Here is a 19,691-nt window from a genome sequence, read left to right as displayed (position 1 = left end):
CTGGATTTTTATCATTTCTTTGTAGTTGCCTCTGGGACTCTGGGTAAATGCACGCCTTACTTGGTATAAAGTAGGCACAGTAATAGCATGGTAATACCTGTAATCATTTGTCCCATGTGTCTGAGCACCTGAAGGTAAAACAACACCGTCATCAGAAACAATTCAGTGGGTAGAGTCATTCAGAAAGAGAGAGGAATTTTTATCTGCTTTTGAAAATGTCTTAAGGAGAAAAAGACAAAGCTTTGAAGGCATTAGTAATTTAAGTATTGGGATGATGTCCAGGGACTTTTTGCTGTGATTCACATCCTGGGTAGGAAAAGGTGATGGAAGTTGTAGGAATGTCATCCAAGTGCCTGATTGATTTGATCGTAGAGAAGAAAGAAGTGGCTATTGGAGAAAAAAGTGCAGTAGAAACAATGAAGGAAACAGGATAAAAACTGTGAATATTGTTCAGCTTCAAAGTGTGTTATGATTTAAATAGTACAGCTGGTTTGGAGATCTTTGGGTGAACAAAGATGTGAAATGACAGCATGTCAGAGTTGGGTCTGAGTATGGTACTAAATGGACGCTGTAATGTCAATGGCTGAGAGAGGTGTATGGAACACACCTGCTCCAAATGTGACACAAGAGAAGACTTGGGGTGGTTTATGGTGTGTTTTTGAGCTCATGTGTTAAGGTGTGGATTGTTGGGACAGGAAAGTGCATGGAGAAAGAACATTGTCTGGGCAGATTTATAGGGAAAAAGTGTACCAGGAAGCCAGCTTCCTGAAGGCCGGTCGCAACATCTAGCTCAGAGCAATTGGGAAATAGCAGGAGGAAGCAATGGGCATCATATTTCAGTTTTCATGGCAAAAGAAGAACTAAAATAAAGATGCAGAGCAGTCGTGTTCTGGGTTTAGAGAAAATAAACACAGAATAATTTGGGCAAGAGAAAAAAATGTTAACTCAACTTTTGGACCCAGAAACAATGATCTACTTTAGTGTATCAATTTAACGGTTTGGTGTTTTCAATTTATTTTGAATTAGTTAATGGAAGTCATCGTAAATCATCAGACAACTAATGCACTTTCATCTTACACTGTGAACCATCATATGCAGCTGTGGATGGGTATCGGAGATTAAGAGACAGGATGTGTGATATGTGCAGAGGGGCTCCACAGCTGCCTCTTGGATGGCCCATTAGGTCCAACTCAATTTTTGGGGGGTGAATTTCTTCATTCTCTAGTTATTGGTCCACACAGAGAAATTATTAACCCCAATGACACTTTAATTAAAGATTTATTTTCCCTTTAATCCTGTGGGGCACCTAGGATCTTGGCGCCAAGATCCTAACTTTTGTCTCCACCACCTTGTGTATAGTGAGCTGACTGTAATATGCATTATTTTTGATATAAGAATGTTTTGTAACCTGTTTGTTTCTTCTCCAAATGCTACAAACTAATTTTAACATCATGGAATATTGGCTTCTGAAGTAGCAGTTCTCTCTTTGAACTAATGCTAATGCAGTTTATGAATTACATGGTACTGCAATCCCTCACAAGGCTTTTCTTTACTATAAATAAAATACTCTAAACAAGAGCCAAATATTTTACTAGACAAATTCTATTACCAAAAAAAAGACACAAAGCTCTGGTATGAATGCATTAGTTAAATATATACGAAATAGATGGAATTGCCTAAGAATGCACAAAATCAAACAAAAGGTGGATTCTGATTACAAAATAACTTTTTTTTTTGGTGGAAGAGAAAGCAATGTAAAAAGCATGAGTCACATTTTAGATTCTAACACTCCTTAGTAGTGGCTTCCTTTTCAGTCTCATGATAAACAACTTGTCTATGATTCTCTTTCTTCCTTTAGTAACTAGAGACAAAAGTGCTTCAGCAGTGGAGCTGACAAAGATTCCAGTTACTCTCTCCCATGTGTCTGTGCTGTGCACATGTTGTGTCTTACACTTACTGTGGGACATCAGTGTTGATCTTTATAGCACATATTTCGGAGTAACCCTGAGAACAATATGCATGCAATTTCTGATGCAGAACAGGTGAACACAGAAGAATGCACAGAGGAATTATGATGACTTAGACTTAGATGTTACTTAGATATAAAATGTATGATAGAATGTTGGTAGATCCAAAATTTGCTCTGCCAAAAAAAGTTGCAAATTTTGCCATGACACAGTGTCCTTAAAGCCTTATCTTCATAACTGGGTGTGAATAAATTTAAGAACCCTTTGTTCTGAGCAAATAATCACCATTTGTTAAAATAATATTCTTGATCAAAGATCTCATGTTTTCATTATACATTAATCTATTCATGTTCTTGGGATAAAGCTTCTTAATGCAATTATGAAAGCAATGTAGGAAATGTATGAAACAATGTATGAAAGCAATGTAAAAATGTTACATTCTTTAAATGTCACATTTAAATAATTATTTAATTTTCTTATTTTTTTTATAGTAGGTGTACATATTTATGGGTTACATGAGTTTTATTTTTTAAAAAATTTTGGGTCCATAGTAGCTGTATATATTTATAGGATTTCATGAGATATTTTGATACAGTCACACAGTGCATAGTAGTCAGAACGGGGTAAATGGGGTATCCATCACCTCGAGCATTTATCCTTTGTGTTAAAAACAATCCAATTATAGTCTTCATTATTTTAAAATGTATAATGAGATTATTTTTTACTATACAAAATAAAAATAATTTCATCACATATTTTAAAATAATTAAATTATTTTAACGAAATATAAAAATAATGAAATTATTTTTTACTAGCACCTGTTGTACTAGCATATATTAGGTCTTATTTTTCTATCTTTTTGGTACCCATTACTACCACCTCCACCTTCCTGACAACCCTTTCCAGCCTCTGGCAACCATCCCTCTACTTTCTGTCTCCAAGAATTTAATTGTTTTGATTTTTAGATCCCACAAATAAGTGAGAACATGTGATGTTTGTCTCTCTGTGCCTGGCTTATTTCACTTAACATAATGACCTCCAGTTTCATCCGTGTTGCTGCAAATGACAGGATCTCATTTATTTTTATGGCTGAATAGTAATCCATTATGTATATAAGTACTACATTTTCTTTATCCATTCATCTATTGATGGACATTCAGGTTGCTTCTAAATCTTGGCTATTGTGAATAGCGCTGCAATAAATGTGGGAGTGTAGACATCTCTTCGATATACTGATTTTGTTTCTTTTGAGTATATACCTAGGGGAGGGATCACTGGATCATATGCTAGCTCTATTTTTAGTTTTTCTTGAGAAACCTCCAAACTGTTCTCCATAGTGGTTGCAAAAATTTATATTCCCAACAAAAGTGTACCAGGGTTTCCTTTTCTCCATTTCTCCACATCCTCTTCAGCATTTGTTATTGCCTGACTTTTGGATAAAAGCCATTTTAACTGGGGTGAGATGATATCTCACTGTCGTTTTGATTTATATTTCTCTGATGATCAGTGACATTGAACACCTTTTCCTACACCTGTTGGCCATTTTTATGTCTTCTTTTGAGAAGTGTCTATTCAGATTTTTGCCCATTTTTAAATCATATTATTCAATTTTTTCCTATAGAGCTGTTTGAGCTCCTTATATATTCTGGCTATTAATCCCTTGTCAGATGGATAGTTTGCAAACATTTTCATCCATTCTGTGGATTGTCTCTTCACTTTGTGGATTTTTTCATTTGCTGTGCAGAAATCTTTTTAATTTATTTTATTATTATTATACTTTAAGTTTTAGGGTACACGTGCACAATGTGCAGGTTTGTTACATATGTATACATGTGCCATGTTGGTGTGCTGCACCCATTAACTCATCATTTAGCATTAGGTATATCTCCTAATGCTATCCCTCCCCCCTCCGCCCACCCCACAACAGTCCCCAGAGTGTGATGTTCCCCTTCCTGTGTCCATGTGTTCTCATTGTTCAATTCCCACCTATGAGTGAGAACATGCGGTGTTTGGTTTTTTGTCCTTGCGATAGTTTGCTGAGAATGATGGTTTCCAGTTTCATCCATGTCCCTATAAAGGACATGAAGTCTTCATTTTTTATGGCTGCATAGTATTCCATGGTGTATATGTGCCACATTTTCTTAATCCAGTCTATCGTTGTTGGACATTTGGGTTGGTTCCAAGTCTTTGCTATTGTGAGTAGTGCCGCAGTAAACATACTTGTGCATGTGTCTTTATAGCAGCATGATTTATAATCCTTTGGGTATATACCCAGTAATGGGATGCCTGGGTCAAATGGTATTTCTAGTTCTAGATCCCTGAGGAATCGCCACACTGACTTCCACAATGGTTGAATTAGTTTACAGTCCCACCAACAGTGTAAAAGTGTTCCTATTTCTCCACATCCTCTCCAGCACCTGTTGTTTCCTGACTTTTTAATGATCGCCATTCTAACTGGTGTGAGATGGTATCTCATTGTGGTTTTGATTTGCATTTCTCTGATGGCCAGTGATGATGAGCATTTTTTCATGAAACCTTTTAACTTGATGTCATACCATTTGTCCTTTTTGCTTTGGTTGCTCGTGCCTGTGGGGTATTGCTCAAGAAGTCTTCACCTACTCTAATGTCCTGGGTAGTTTCCCCAATGTTTTTTAAAGAATAATTTTAAAAATAATGAGGAGCATTGGAGAACTTCAAGAAATTTGAATAACGTATAATAAGGTTTACTGCCAATTATATATTTGTAATTTAGGAAGGAAATATTTATAAATGAGAACTCTAAGAATGTTAATTACATAGAGTTCCATAGTTAGCAAAATGTATGTTGGTTATTAATATGCAAGTCTCTTAATTTTAAGTTCAATGATTTCTGTAATAGAGCTATAACAGATCTATAGCATTCAAAATTATTTTTTAAATGTAAAAAATTTCAATCTTCTCATTTTATGTATATGTAAAAGTAATATTTCTATAGGGCTTTAAACATACATACTTCAGAATACTTTCATAAACACGACTTCATTTTTATCTTTACAACAATTTTGTGGGTTGAGTGTTTTATTATTATTATCAACATAAAAATAAGCAAACCAAGGCCCAGTGACTTGCCCAGCTCATGCAGCCTTTTCTGGGAAGTCTGATGCCAGAAAATGATTATACAATAAAGCTGAGTTGAGCAAACGTTAGCCTTTTTTTATCATAATAGCTTATGTTTTATAATCCTGCTTTATTTCAATTGGCTGTGCAATTGATTCTAAATTTAGTTTCCTAGTTGGACTAAATGCCGTAACTATATTTTTCAAATCTATAAATTATTTTTCAATTTCAACATGAAACTCTATGATTTCACATAATTGCCCAAGGCCATTGCCATTTTGGCAGAGACAGGTGGCATAAAATGGAGCAGGACTCTTCGATGTTCCAGTAATGGCCATCAATTAACCTTTTAAAACTAAATATTATCTTTAAAAAAATAAAAACAACCCTCATATTTAAGTATTTTCTAATACACATGGAAAAAAGCAATCTTCCAAAGGAAAGCAGCCAGAACCAAATATGACTTTGAATTATTGTGCACGCTTCTGCGTATGCTGGCTTTCTACCATTTGAAAATGATTGTTATCTAGTCATGAGATTCTCAACCAAGTTTTACATCTACAGAGTGATGGGAGCCATGGGAAGAGCCATCTGCTCCTGTAATGGTGAGAGTTTCCTTCAGAGAGCACGGTTTGGGGAAGCCAAATTGTTTGTGTTTCTTCCATTCCAATCACCCTGGTTAGGTCTCTGCCAGCATGCCTTTCTTTATCGTACCCCTTCCTTACTTCTGTGACTTCCAATAGAAAAATGGCAACAGCCGTTGGAATAATGCACCACTAGATGCATTTTTCTTTTGAATTCTTCTTGAAAACAAAGATGCTGTAACTAGGAGAGAAAGAAAGGGACAAATTAGGAGTTTGTTCAATAAAAATGTTTCTCAGAATGGGATCGTCTGATGATTTGTACCAGAATTCTCTAAGGGTAGGCCAGGAATCTTGATTCTTAACAAGGTCACCTGGTTTACATCAAAGTTGTTTCCTCATCAATGACATAGAACAGTGTTCCAAATATTTTAAAAGAATCCTAAGTTCTGACTGGGCACAGGGACTCACGCCTGTAATCCCAGCACTTTGGGAGGCTGAGGCAGGTGGATCACGAGGTCAGGAGATCGAGACTGTCTTGGTCAATATGGTCAAACCCCGTCTCTACTAAAATAGAAAAAATTAACTGGGCATGGTGGCATGTGCCTGTAGTCCCAGCTACTTGAGAGGCTGAGGCAGGGGAATTGCTTGAACCCGGGAGGCAGAGGTTGCAGTGAGCTGAGATTGCATCACTGCACTCCAGCCTGGTGACAGAGCAAGACTCCGTCTCAAAAAAAAAAAAAAAATCATATGTTCCTTTTGATTATACATTTAAAAATATTTACAAGTGATATGAATATAGGATGATAATAATGTTAGCAAACCACAAATGGCACTTGTAGATATTTAACATAAAGATTTAACAAAATTTTGTAAGCATTGCCAAAAAGTCATAGATAATTGTCTTCATGCTCTGTGTGCCTATTTTTAATAATCACAGCACAAGCTCTGTGTGATAAATGTGATGATTCCTACAATCATACGACAATAGTAACTCACAGCATAATATACACTTAGGGCCCTATTACTGTTTATAATCTTGGGCGTAAATCCATGTTTCTATTAGTGATAATAAGTGTTTGGTTGATTCCGTAGCAGATCTGATGAAGACAAGATTGCCACTTAGTTCAGTGTGAAGCTGATGAAGTTTCTCATTAACTGTAGTGGATCAAGTTCTGTCTTTTTTACGTCATAACATCTCTAATAACCAATCCCAACAGTGCCCAGATTTTGGAATGGATACCATATTGGTGGGAGTAGGCTCTGGTCTGTGAGCTGCATGTGTCCCTCCTGGTGGAGGATCTATCAGCCCTGCCTGGGCATCCACTTTTAGCCTTACGTTTTTATGGTTTCTTTTCAGAAATCTTTTAGTCTTACCTTTTATGATTCCTTTTCAGGAATCTTCTTTAACTAATAATTGCTTTGTAGGGATTGATTTGGCTGAAATTAAATTGCACAACCTCTTAAATCCTCTTACATGGATGCACCTAAACTGTAAACTTTAAGGAAACAGACAAGTGCAGCAACAGAGCCAGCGAGCAGCCCCTTGCGGTGGGCACTCGCATTCTTCCCTTGGGACATGCTGCACCAGGAGCGGTCTGAGCCCAGGTGACACAAGAACCAAGCGGATATGCCCCAGTCAAACTGTGCTTCATGTAGTAGTGAAGCTTCCTGGGTACCTTACGCTTCAGATGAAATGAGTAGAGGCTTAATATTTCCTCCCTGTATCTCAGTGGGTCACCTTGAGAGTTTTGCTCTGAACTATATAAATCACCTGCACACTTTGGAGATCATCATGCCTAGGAGATACAGACACTGGATCAGTCACATCGATTTTGCTGTTTAAATAATTTTTACTCTATATGTAATGTTGTACTTTTGGGGTACACGTAATATTTTGTTACATTCCTAAAATGTGTAGTGAGCTGGTTGCATGTGCCTGTAGTCCAAACTACTTGGAGGCTGAGGCAGGAGAAATGCTTGAATCTGGGAGGCAGAGGTTGCAGTGAACCAAGATCCAAGATCGCACCACTGCACTCCAGCCTAGGTGACAGAGTGAGACTCTATCTCAAAAACAAAACAAACAAAAAAAGTGTAGTGATCAAATAGGGTAGTTGGAATATCCATCCCCCTCAAACATTTATTATTTCTTTGTACTGAGAACATTCCAAATTTTTCTTCCAGTTATTTTGAAATTTACAAAGGAGGGGTTTCATTGGCAAAGAAAGAAAATTAAGATTTACTGGGAATATCTGAGAGAGAGAGAAACAATAAGAGAAACCACATCCAAGGTGGGCAAAGAAAAGTTGGATATTTTCTTTCTTCCACTCTTCAACTATAAGAAATTCAGTATCTTTTCTTTACGTAGCCTGGAGGCATAACCTGACATGCATTTAAAATAGAAATCTGCAACATATTTATGAAGCATCTTAAAACAGTGATGCTGCATTGGTATTTACTTTTAAGTTTAAATGTGTCTAAAATATTGTATGAACTGTACATTAAGTAGGAAATTACTAATTTAAAAAGAGCAGGCAGATGTTTTATTAGAGCTACAAATAAACAGCTATATGCTTTTTTTGATTGTGCTTCAAATGCTATTATCTGGATTCCTAACCAGTGAACAGACTCTAAAACATAATATTCCCATGAAAGGAATGCAGGAAGCTGTACTTAATCTTCTTTGTGGTTTTAAAGGCAACAAGAATAGTAAAAAGGGGTATCAGTGATTAAGATGAAATAACTGACTATCTGACTACTTATAAAGCATTTGCTGTGAATATATTGATAATTCAGCAGGGAAGAATATATAATTTCTTTGTAAATGATAATTTATAAAGTACACACCAATATTTTGGGGAGATAAATTGTTTTAATATGTAAATTGTGCAATATCTATGCGAGCCTTTCTGTGCTCAAACTGGATGTTTAAATAGGTAACACATTTATCAACTTGTGATACATCTACATTCCCATTATAAAATATATTTCCCATTTATCTTCATGGCAATTTTCATGCTTATTAGTATTTTTTGCATTTTACAATATGCATAAATTAACATGAATGTCTGGCTATATGTCTAGAGTATATGTGAAAACATTTTAAAAGCTAAGGATAATTTGCAGAGTTTAGTGTTGAAGTAAGAAGGGCTGTTAAATATTTGTAAAAATCTCATTTCTGTAATGTACTTTTTTATATAAAGTTTATTCAATGGATTTTTGACTGCAGTTTTTTTGCAGATTATTAATGATGTTTATTAAAATTCCTGAGAAATGTATTATAAAAATATAACACTGGAAGACCTCTACCATTTTGATCCTCTGCAAAATTGTATGCTGAGCATTTCTATGTAATTTGAGTCCCCTTGTATAAATGTAAATTTTTATAAAAAATCCAGACCTTCATGTTTCCTTAATTCTATAAAATAGATCAGCATCTAGATTTTAAAATTAGTGAAAAATATTCAAGAACAATTGATTGGCACAACTGCCTAGAAATACAGAGCGTGGTGTCAAGGAGGCATCTTGGCATCGTTCAGACACGTACTCCACATTCTTCCCGGGTGTTTGGTTTTCAAAGCAGTCTCATTACACTGAAGAAGTCACCTTCAACACAGGGGGTACTGCTTTTTCCTTAGACAAATGCCCAAGAGATACCTGAAATTTGGCAAAGGAAAGAACACAAATTAGAAGCACAGACAGATATATCAGCGGGTATGGAACTTGTTGGTGTGCTGCGGGATTTCCTTATCCCCCATTCCTCTTGTGTGTCTTATGGAAAATCTTGATCAGTTTACCTGATTCCTGCTGTGATTTGAGAAGGCCTTGGATTAGGATCCAAATTATAGCCGTACCATCTGCTGTTCCTGAGCTGTTTTTAACAGTAAACACTTTCATTAGTCTAATATATTCATTATTTCCAGGTATTGCTAAAAAGTTGCGAGCTATCATGTAATCAATATTCATTTGTACATTTTATAGGTTTACATATTTTGTTTTTAATTTATTTACATGTATGTATCTCTATATTATGTTTTATATTCATTTACACATTTTATATAAATACTCACCTTCTTTCCTCAGCTCTTTGAAGTGTGTACTTACAATGGATTATGTTGAGAGAGTTGCCAATATTTTCTCAGCCCTATGAGTAAATATCAGGGTCAGGGAAGGAAAGTAATATTTACTAGCGTGTGATACAGTGTTAGGTATATTCTGTATATCACATCTTTACATCTTACACTAACCCTCTGAAGTAGGTACATTTATCTTCATTTTGACAAATAAGGGGATAGGGATATTAAGTAGCAGGCCTAGTAGAAGCAAGCTCTCAAAGCTAGTGAGTGGCAATGCTGGTGTCTCAGCTGGGTTTATTTTACTTCAAGGCCTGAGGCCTTTTTATTATACAAAGTTATCCCCTTTAAAATATCTGCTTAGGAGATATTTGACTCATTTTAAAGAGAATTTAAGTGCATCCCAGTCATTTTTTAGAAGGTTGTTACTTGTTACTCTAAATTTCTGACACCTAAATTTCCAAGTTTTGAATCTGAACTAAGGGATGTTGACTACACATTATAAGCATGAATCATGGTTAAATTTTAAGTTATTGTTGTTGTTTCTTGTGGTGATTGTAGTAGGAGTGTGTGTGTGTGTGTGTGTGTATTTGTTTGAATGTTCAAAGCATTTGACAAGCGTGTTTGAATTTATTCTAAGAAAAAATCATATTAGTTATCCATTTCTGTGGGATAAATGACTCCAAAACCTGACCCAAAACCACTAGCATTTTGTCGCTCACAGTTCTTAGTTGACAAATTAGTCTGGGCTCAAGAGGATCTATTTCTTGCTCCCTGTAGAGTGGCCCAGGCTCACTGTGGTCAGTTAGGGTCTAAAGGAGGTGTAGCTGCTTCTGGAGGGTGTCACTGACACTTGGGGCCTAACGCTGATATCTGAAATGGCTGAGACTGATGGAATGTCTCCCCTAAGAGGCCTGTTTTTCTACTTGGTGTGTCATCTTCATGGAACCCAGCCTGGACTTGTTCACACAATGGAAGACAGCATTAACAGAGGGTGAAATTATAAACTGGAAGACCTTTTGTGTCCAATGCTTGTCAGTCACACAATATCACTCATGCTACGTTCTGCTTGTCACAGGGCCAGCCCACAGTCAAGGGATAGGGAAATAGACCTCATTTTCTCACAAAAGGGAGATGCAAAAAGCTCGTCATTTGTAACTCACCCTGAATATAGAACACAATGATTGTAATGAATGTTATAATACCCAAACAGCCCAAAAGAATCAAAATGTTCTTAGTTTGAAATAAAAATGAGTCCTATATTTTCCCCACCCAAATACAATATATACATTTTTACTATGTATAACATTCATCTGTTCAGGTAACCTCTTCTAATATAAATGTTCAGTTAGAGAAGTTATCTGATATTCAGTGCTTAGCTGGAGTCGGAACTGATCAAATTTGACATTGACTGTTGAAAGGAGTACAATTTATTTCCTCTCCACGTATAAATAAGGAGATTGACATATCAGCTGGGGTCATGGCACCTTTTTCTGTTTATCTGGCTGCCTGATAAGTAAGAAGAGGTTCATTGAGAAGGTGTATTATTTATTTATACCGATACACAATGCATGAAACCTAGCTAGGCTTATTTTTGCTTAAATCAGGTAAAGAAATAATGTCTGATTCTGGATACAATTTCAGTGTGAACCACAGATGCTATCAAGCGGATTATTACTATGTAGTCAGCACCTAATGCAATACTTGAAGTCTGCAGCTGAGAAACTAGAAAAAAATGACATTGAGAAATCAGTATTCTTTTGGAAAAGCAGCCAATCCAAGGCAAAATATTGAATTAGACGATAAAATGCTTCATGTGCTGTTTTATATGTTTATTTTTAAAGAAAAATCACCCAATTACTCTAAAGAAAGTATTTATTTTTGATTTTAAGACACTAGTATGGCATGCTATGGTATATTTCTTACTTTTTAGAAATATAAATTTGTGGTCACTGGAACACATAAAATAAATCAGCCTTTCTAGTAAGTTGAGGGGGAAAACAGGATAATACACCATTTTGAGATGGCAGCAAGCTTTGGTGAAATGAACACAGCACAGAGAACTAGGAGAAGTAAAATTCCAACCAAAATCTGTTAAATTACTTCTTTCTCTAACCTTGTTTTCCATGTATGTAAAATTTATGTTATATAATGATTGAAGGAGAGACTTCTGGCTATCAAGGGATAAAGTGGTAGGTTAATTCTCTTTACACAAAAAAGAACAAAATCATATACAATTGTCTCATACAACAATTTCAGGGCTCTGTAAATTGACTAAAGACAGACAACAAATTGATCATCTTTCTTCTTGAAAAAATATCCACGGTAGAGATTTGAGTAAGAACAGCAGTAGTCTATTGTCTTTCTGCCTGGGATTGTTTCCCCCTTCTCCACAAATCAGTAAGTGAAAAAAAGTTTTACCAGCATAAGTTCAGCCAGAAAAGCAGCAGCTTTGCAGGCAAAGGGAGCTGACTCAGTTTGGAGCAAGGAAATAAACTTTGCGGCACTGTTAACTAAAAAATGGGTAATACCACTGAAAACAAGCAGGGCAAACCCACCACTTTGCTAGCCTGAGATTGTAGTATCTGTTGGGGTAAATGATACACTACCCAAAAATAGAATGTGGAAGATTCTGGAAATGAGAGAGCCGTGGAAGGGCCAATTAGGCTCTTTATACATCACAAGTGAATGTGCTTGACAGGAGAGGGCCAGGTGAAAAATAAAAGCCAAGGGAGACGAAAAATCATTGAACCTTGAATCCACTCTATGCCCTCCACACAGATTGGTAAGCAAAGGGTGAAATCCTTATAGTTAGAAGTGTTTGAGCACAGCGTGTGCCCAAATCATTGGCTGAGCTATAAATTATGATATATAGAAACAATCACTAGGAAGCTAAGGTAAGAAAATAAAGATTGAAAAACATTAACATAGTCCTCAGTAGCCACATACTCAAGGGAGCAAGGGAGATAGATTCCACAGAGGAAAAAAAGAAGAGGGAAAAAAGCCCACAAATCTCAGAAACATAAAGATAAATATTGAGTATTGTGTATTAAGTAAAATGTTGAGCTTTCAACAAAAATATTTGAGATGTGCTGAAAATCAGGCAAGCATTTACTAGTACAACTATGTACAAATTAAAAGAAACTATAATTAAATGTTAAATAAAATATGATAATCAATAAAAAGTAAATATGAAATCAATAAATGTGAACTCTCAACAGAAAAGGAGAAACTATAAAAAAGAAATAAATAGAAGCTCTAGAGTTGAAAAATACAATTAAAGTTAAAAAATCACAAGGGAGGCTCAACAGCAACTTGGGATGGTAGAAAAAAAAATACTTTCCCTTGAAGATCATTGGAAATAGTCCAATCTGAAGAACAGAGAAAAAATTATTAAAGACAAATAAACACTCAGACCTACAAGACACCATTTTGTGTGTCAACATGTACATAATAGGAGTTTCATAATGACATAAGTAAAAGTGCATAAAGGTATTTGATGAAGGAGATACGGGATGAAAGGAAACATCAATAACACTAGATAGTATCTCAGATACACAGAAAGTAATGAAGATCACCATTGAAAAGTATGTATTTAAATAGAAAATATTGTGTGTGTGTGTATGAATCCTAAGGTTTTATGGATTCTGTATTTGTGAATTCACATACTCACTAAAATTTATTTACAACCCCAAAATCAATACTCAGGGCTTTTGTGGTCATTCACAGACATACACAGAGCAGTACAAAATCAAAGTCACTCAGTGCACACAGTCTTCACCAGAGTTCAGGCCAAGGCAATATTCTGCTTTATTTCACTGTAATACCATAAGCAAGTATCCTTTTTATGGTCTACTGAGTACCATATTTTTGTCCTTTTCTTGGTGATTTTGTTGCTGACAATGGCCCTCAAACATAGTGATGAAGTACTGTCTAGCATTCCTATGTATAAGAAGGCTGTGGTATGCCTTACAGAGAAAATACATATATTACGTCAGCTTCATTCATGTATGAGTTATAGTGTCATTGGCTATAAGTTCAATCTTAATGAATCAACAATATACAGTATATTAAATAAGGTGTGTTTAAACAGAAACACACATAAAACAAGATCAAATATTGATTGGTTGCCTAAAGTGTTGGGACCAGAGTTTCACAGAAACATAATCATAATTTTCCCTAGAAGTAACAGTTCAGTATTCACTAATTGATTGTTTGCAGTGATATTATGGAACACAACTACTGTGTATGAGGACAACTGAAAATACATGTATACATGTGCATGTGGGTTTGTGAATGTGTAATTTCTCCTTTTTTTTAATTAAATTTTTTTTTCACACCTGTAATCCTAGCACTTTGGGAGGCCACGGCGGGCGGATCACCTGAGGTCGGGAGTTTGAGACCAGCCTGACCAACATGGAGAAACCCCGTCTCTACTAAAAAATAAAAAATTAGCTGGGCGTGGTGGCGCATGCCTGTAATCCCAGCTCCTCCGTGGGCTGAGGCAGGAGAATCACTTGAACCTGGGAGGCTGAGGTTGCAGTGAGCCGAGATCACACCATTGCACTCCAGCCTGGGCAACAAGAGTGAAACTGCGTCTCAATAAATAAATAAATAAATAAATAAATAAATAAATAAATAAATAAAATGAAAAATAATTTTTAAAACAATAACATTAAGAGTATTTGGGGGTTTATAACAAGTATTTATATGATATAAGTGATAATAATTGGACACAGGAAAGGGTAGAAAATAAAACCATATTGGAGCAAACCTGCAGCATTTTACCAAAATTAAGTAATTATCTGAAATAGATTGTAATAATCTAAGATATATATGATAACCCCTTGAGCAACCATTAAGAAAATAACACAAAAAGTAGCTTAAAAGACCCCAACAGTGCATTTAAAATGGCCTACTAAAAAGTATTTATTTTGCACAAAAATGACAGCAAATGAGGGCAGAGGAATGAAAAAAGATATCAGACGTAAAGAAACAAATAGCAAAATTTCAGATATAAACCCAGCAACATTAATAATTATAGTAAATGTGAATAGACTACACTTTTCATTCAAAGGACAGAGATTGTCAAACCAAATAAAAAGTCAGGTCCAACTGTATGATGGATACATTTACAAGCAACTCACATTAGATGCAAGGACAAAAATAGGTTGAACATAAAGGATGGAAAAGATACACCAAGTACACAGTAACCATAAGAGACCTGGGCACTTTAAATTAGTATCTCAAAATATACCTTTAAGACCAGAAATCTTACTAAGATAAAACAATTATTTCATAATTAGAAAATGTTATATAGGAAGTAGATGTACTTTTTAAAATTTGTACTTTTCTTTACTCCTCCCACTAAGTATAACTAAAATCCCTGAACATCATCTGTAAAACAAACATGAGAAAATTGTAAAAGGTGAAGAGAAGGCAGGCTGGCAGGAGATCTTGAGAAATAGCGCAAGGTGAGTTCCTTGGCTTTTCTTTTTGCCTTTTTTATGCCAAGTTGGGGCTGAAGCAGCTGGCAACCTTGAGATGTCAGTGAGCATGGTAAAAATAAATTAATTGATTTAAAAAAGCCTCTTCAAAGCCAGACTCTGTCAATAAAAGGATCTGGAAAGAGACGTCCTAACACAACAGAAAACTTTATACAATAACTGCTCTAATCCAGTCAAACATCACAGCCCCACCTGCCCATACCAGCCAATGCTGAGTGGGGAATCAAGACGTTCTGAGACTGTAACAAAGCACCCCAACCCCTCCAGCCTGGTACACAGAAGTGTGGCTGGGGGCCAGGGCTCTCCTTCCATGGTGCCACTGGAGGCAATAGGGGAGCACCACAAGGTACTCCCACCCTTCCCAGCAGAGGAAGTGTCAGGTGAGGCCTAGAGGGAAGCTGAAAATCACATCCCCACCCAGCAGTAACAAGGAGCCTCCCCCACCCCACTCAACCTGGGAGTCAACAGAGACAGAGCGGGAAACCTGGAAACCATGAGATGATATCTCCTCTTCCCCTGCTGCGGTGGTCTCAGAGGAAGTCAGCTACTGCCAAAGTTTAAGTAAGATGCAGTCTCATCACATAGCACCAAGGTCCAGAAACATCATGTGACAAAATTCAATCTCTTTTCCTGATAAAAACTCTCAAAGACAATAAAAATAGAAAGTTTCTCAAGTTATAAAAACCATCTGCCCCAAACTTATAGCTAACGTTATTCATAATGGTGAAAGGCTGAATGGTCTCACCCTGAGGTTGGGAAAGAAGAAAGATGCCCACATTTCTATTCAAAATTTTATTAGAGTTTTTAGTCTATGCAAGAAAAAGAAACAAACAGAATAGTGACTGTAAAGAAAGACGTAAATGTGTCTACATTTGCAGATGGTATGGCCTTGTATGTAGAAATTTCTAACGTTTAAGTCTTTAATCCATCTTGAATTAATTTTTGTATAAGGTGTAAGGAAGGGATCCAGTTTCAGCTTTCTACATATGGCTAGCCAGTTTTCCCAGCACCATTTATTAAATAGGGAATCCTTTCCCCATTGCTTGTTTTTCTCAGGTTTGTCAAAGATCAGATAGTTGTAGATATGCGGCATTATTTCTGAGGGCTCTGTTCTGTTCCATTGATCTATATCTCTGTTTTGGTACCAGTACCATGCTGTTTTGATTACTGTAGCCTTGTAGTATAGATTGAAGTCAGGTAGCGTGATGCCTCCAGCTTTGTTCCTTTGGCTTAGGATTGACTTGGCGATGCAGGCTCTTTTTTGGTTCCATATGAACCTTAGTTTTTTCCAATTCTGTGAAGAAAGTCATTGGTAGCTTGATGGGGATGGCATTGAATCTACAAATTACCTTGGGCAGTATGGCCATCTTCACGATATTGATTCTTCCTACCCATGAGCATGGAATGTTCTTCCATTTGTTTGTATCCTCTTTTATTTCCTTGAGCAGTGGTTTGTAGTTCTCCTTGAAGAGGTCCTTCACATCCCTTGTAAGTTGGATTCCTAGGTATTTTATTCTCTTTGAAGCAATTGTGAATGGGAGTTCACTCATGATTTGGCTCTCTGTTTGTCTGTTATTGGTGTATAAGAATGCTTGTGATTTTTGTACATTGATTTTGTGTCCTGAGACTTTGCTGAAGTTGTTTATCAGCTTAAGGAGATTTTGGGCTGAGACAATGGGATTTTCTAGATATACAATCATGTCGTCTGCAAACAGGGACAATTTGACTTCCTCTTTTCCTAATTGAATACCCTTTATTTCCTTCTCCTGCCTAATTGCCCTGGCCAGAACTTCTAACACTATGTTGAATAGGAGTGGTGAGAGAGGGCATCCGTGTCTTGTGCCAGTTTTCAAAGGGAATGCTTCCAGTTTTTGCCCATTCAGTATGATATTGGCTGTGGGTTTGTCATAGATAGCTCTTATTATTTTGAGATATGTCCCATCAATACCTAATTTATTGAGAGTTTTTAGCATGAAGGTTGTTGAATTTTGTCAAAGGCCTTTTCTGCATCTATTGAGATAATCGTGGTTTTTTTCTTTGGTTCTGTTTATATGCTGGATTACATTTATTGATTTGCATATATTGAACCAGCCTTGCATCCCAGGGATGAAGCCCACTTGATCATGGTGAATAAGCTTTTTGATGTGCTGCTGGATTCGGTTTGCCAGTATTTTATTGAGGATTTTTGCATCAGTGTTCATCAAGGATATTGATCTAAAATTCTCTTTTGTTGTTGTGTCTCTGCCTGGCTTTGGTATCAGGATGATGCTGGCCTCATAAAATGAGTTAGGGAGGATTCCCTCTTTTTCTATTGATTGGGATATTTTCAGAAGGAATGGTACCAGTTCCTCCTTGTACATCTGGTAGAATTCAGCTGTGAATCCGTCTGGTCCTGGACTCTTTTTTGTTGGTAAGCTATTGATTATTGCCACAATTTCAGATCCTGTTATTGGTCTATTCAGAGATTCAACTTCTTCCTGGTTTAGTCTTGGGAGGGTGTGTGTGTCGAGGAATTTATCCATTTCTTCTAGATTTTCTAGTTTATTTGCATAGAGGTGTTTGTAGTATTCTCTGATGGTAGTTTGTATTTCTGTGGGATCGGTGGTGATATCCCCTTTATCATTTTTTACTGCATCTATTTGATTCTTCTCTCTTTTTTTCTTTATTAGTCTTGCTAGCGGTCTATCAATTACAAAAATTAATTCAAGATGGATTAAAGACTTAAACGTTAGACCTAAAACCATAAAAACCATAGAAGAAAACCTAGGCATTACCATTCAGGACATAGGCATGGGCAAGGACTTCATGTCTAAAACACCAAAAGCAATGGCAACAAAAGCCAAAATTAACAAATGGGATCTAATTAAACTAAAGAGCTTCTGCACAGCAAGAGAAACTACTATCAGAGTGAACAGGCAACCTCCAAAATGGGAGAAAATTTTCACAACCTACTCATCTGACAAAGGGCTAATATCCAGAATCTACAATGAACTCAAACAAATTTACAAGAAAAAAACAAACAACCCCATCAAAAAGTGGGCAAAGGATATGAACAGACACTTCTCAAAAGAAGACATTTATGCAGCCAAAAGACACATGAAAAAATGCTCACCATCACTGGCCATCAGGGAAATGCAAATCAAAACCACAATGAGATACCATCTCACACCAGTTAGAATGGCAATCATTAAAAAGTCAGGAAACAACAGGTGCTGGAGAGGATGTGGAGAAATAGGAACACTTTTACACTGTTGGTGGGACTGTAAACTAGTTCAACCCTTGTGGAAATCAGTGTGGCAATTCCTCAGGGATCTAGAACTAGAAATACCATTTGACCCAGCCATCCCATTACTGGGTATATACCCAAAGGACTATAAATCATGCTGCTATAAAGACACATGCACACGTATGTTTATTGCGGCATTATTCACAATAGCAAAGACTTGGAACCAACCCAAATATCCAACAATGATAGACTGGATTAAGAAAATGTGGCACATATACACCATGGAATACTATGCAGCCATAAAAAATGATGAGTTCATGTCCTCTGTAGGGACATGGATGAAACTGGAAATCATCATTCTCAGTAAACTATCACAAGGACAAAAAACCAAACACCGCATGTTCTCACTCATAGATGGGAATTGAACAATGAGAACACATGGACACAGGAAGGGGAACATCACACTCTGGGGCCTGTTGTGGGGTGGGGGGAGGGGGGAGGGATAGCATTAGGAGATATACCTAATGCTAAATGATGAGTTAATGGGTGCAGCACACCGGCATGGCACATGTATACATATGTAACTAACCTGCACATTGTGCACATGTACCCTAAAACTTAAAGTATAATAATAATAATAATAATAATAATAATAATAATAATTAAAAAAAGAAAGAAAAAAAAGAAATTTCTAAGGAATGCACACATATAAAACTTCTCAAATTAACAGAATATTTTGCAAAGTCTCAGGATATAAGATCAGTATTCAAAAATGAATTGCATTTATGCTATCAACAAATGATCTGAAAATTAAGTTAGGAAAACCATTCTACTCACAATAGCATGAAATAATTAGTTTCTTAGTAATAAACTGAATAAAAGAAGTATAAGACATACCATACTGAAAATTCGAAAATGTTCCTCAGAGAAATTCAAGAAGACCTAAATAATTGGAGTAATTCACCATCATCATGCATTGGAAGAGTTAATATTTGTAATACAGCAAATTGATCTATAGATTCATTACCCCCTTGCAAAATGCTAGCAGGCTTTTTTCTATAAAATTGACAAGATAATTTTGAGTGTTATAGGAAAATGCAATGGGGCTTAAATTTTAAAAAGAATTTTGAAAAATAATAAATTGGAGGAGTTACCCTACCTGATTTTAAAACTTACTATAAATGTACTATAACCAAGTCACAGCTTTCTCTAAATTATTATGGTCAGATGTATTTGCAAAC

General features: G+C 36.2%; 1 long non-coding RNA gene across 2 annotated transcripts in view; it reads left to right on the top strand.

The window, feature by feature from the left end:
• Positions 1–19,691, top strand: part of LOC105372190 (uncharacterized) — a 312,925-nt gene that overhangs the window by 44,093 nt on the left and 249,141 nt on the right. The window lies entirely within an intron of this gene.

The sequence above is a fragment of the Homo sapiens genome, chromosome 18 (assembly GCF_000001405.40).
Source record: "Homo sapiens chromosome 18, GRCh38.p14 Primary Assembly".
NCBI classification, from domain to species: domain Eukaryota; kingdom Metazoa; phylum Chordata; class Mammalia; order Primates; family Hominidae; genus Homo; species Homo sapiens.
This window is presented reverse-complemented; position numbering and strand designations above follow the sequence as displayed.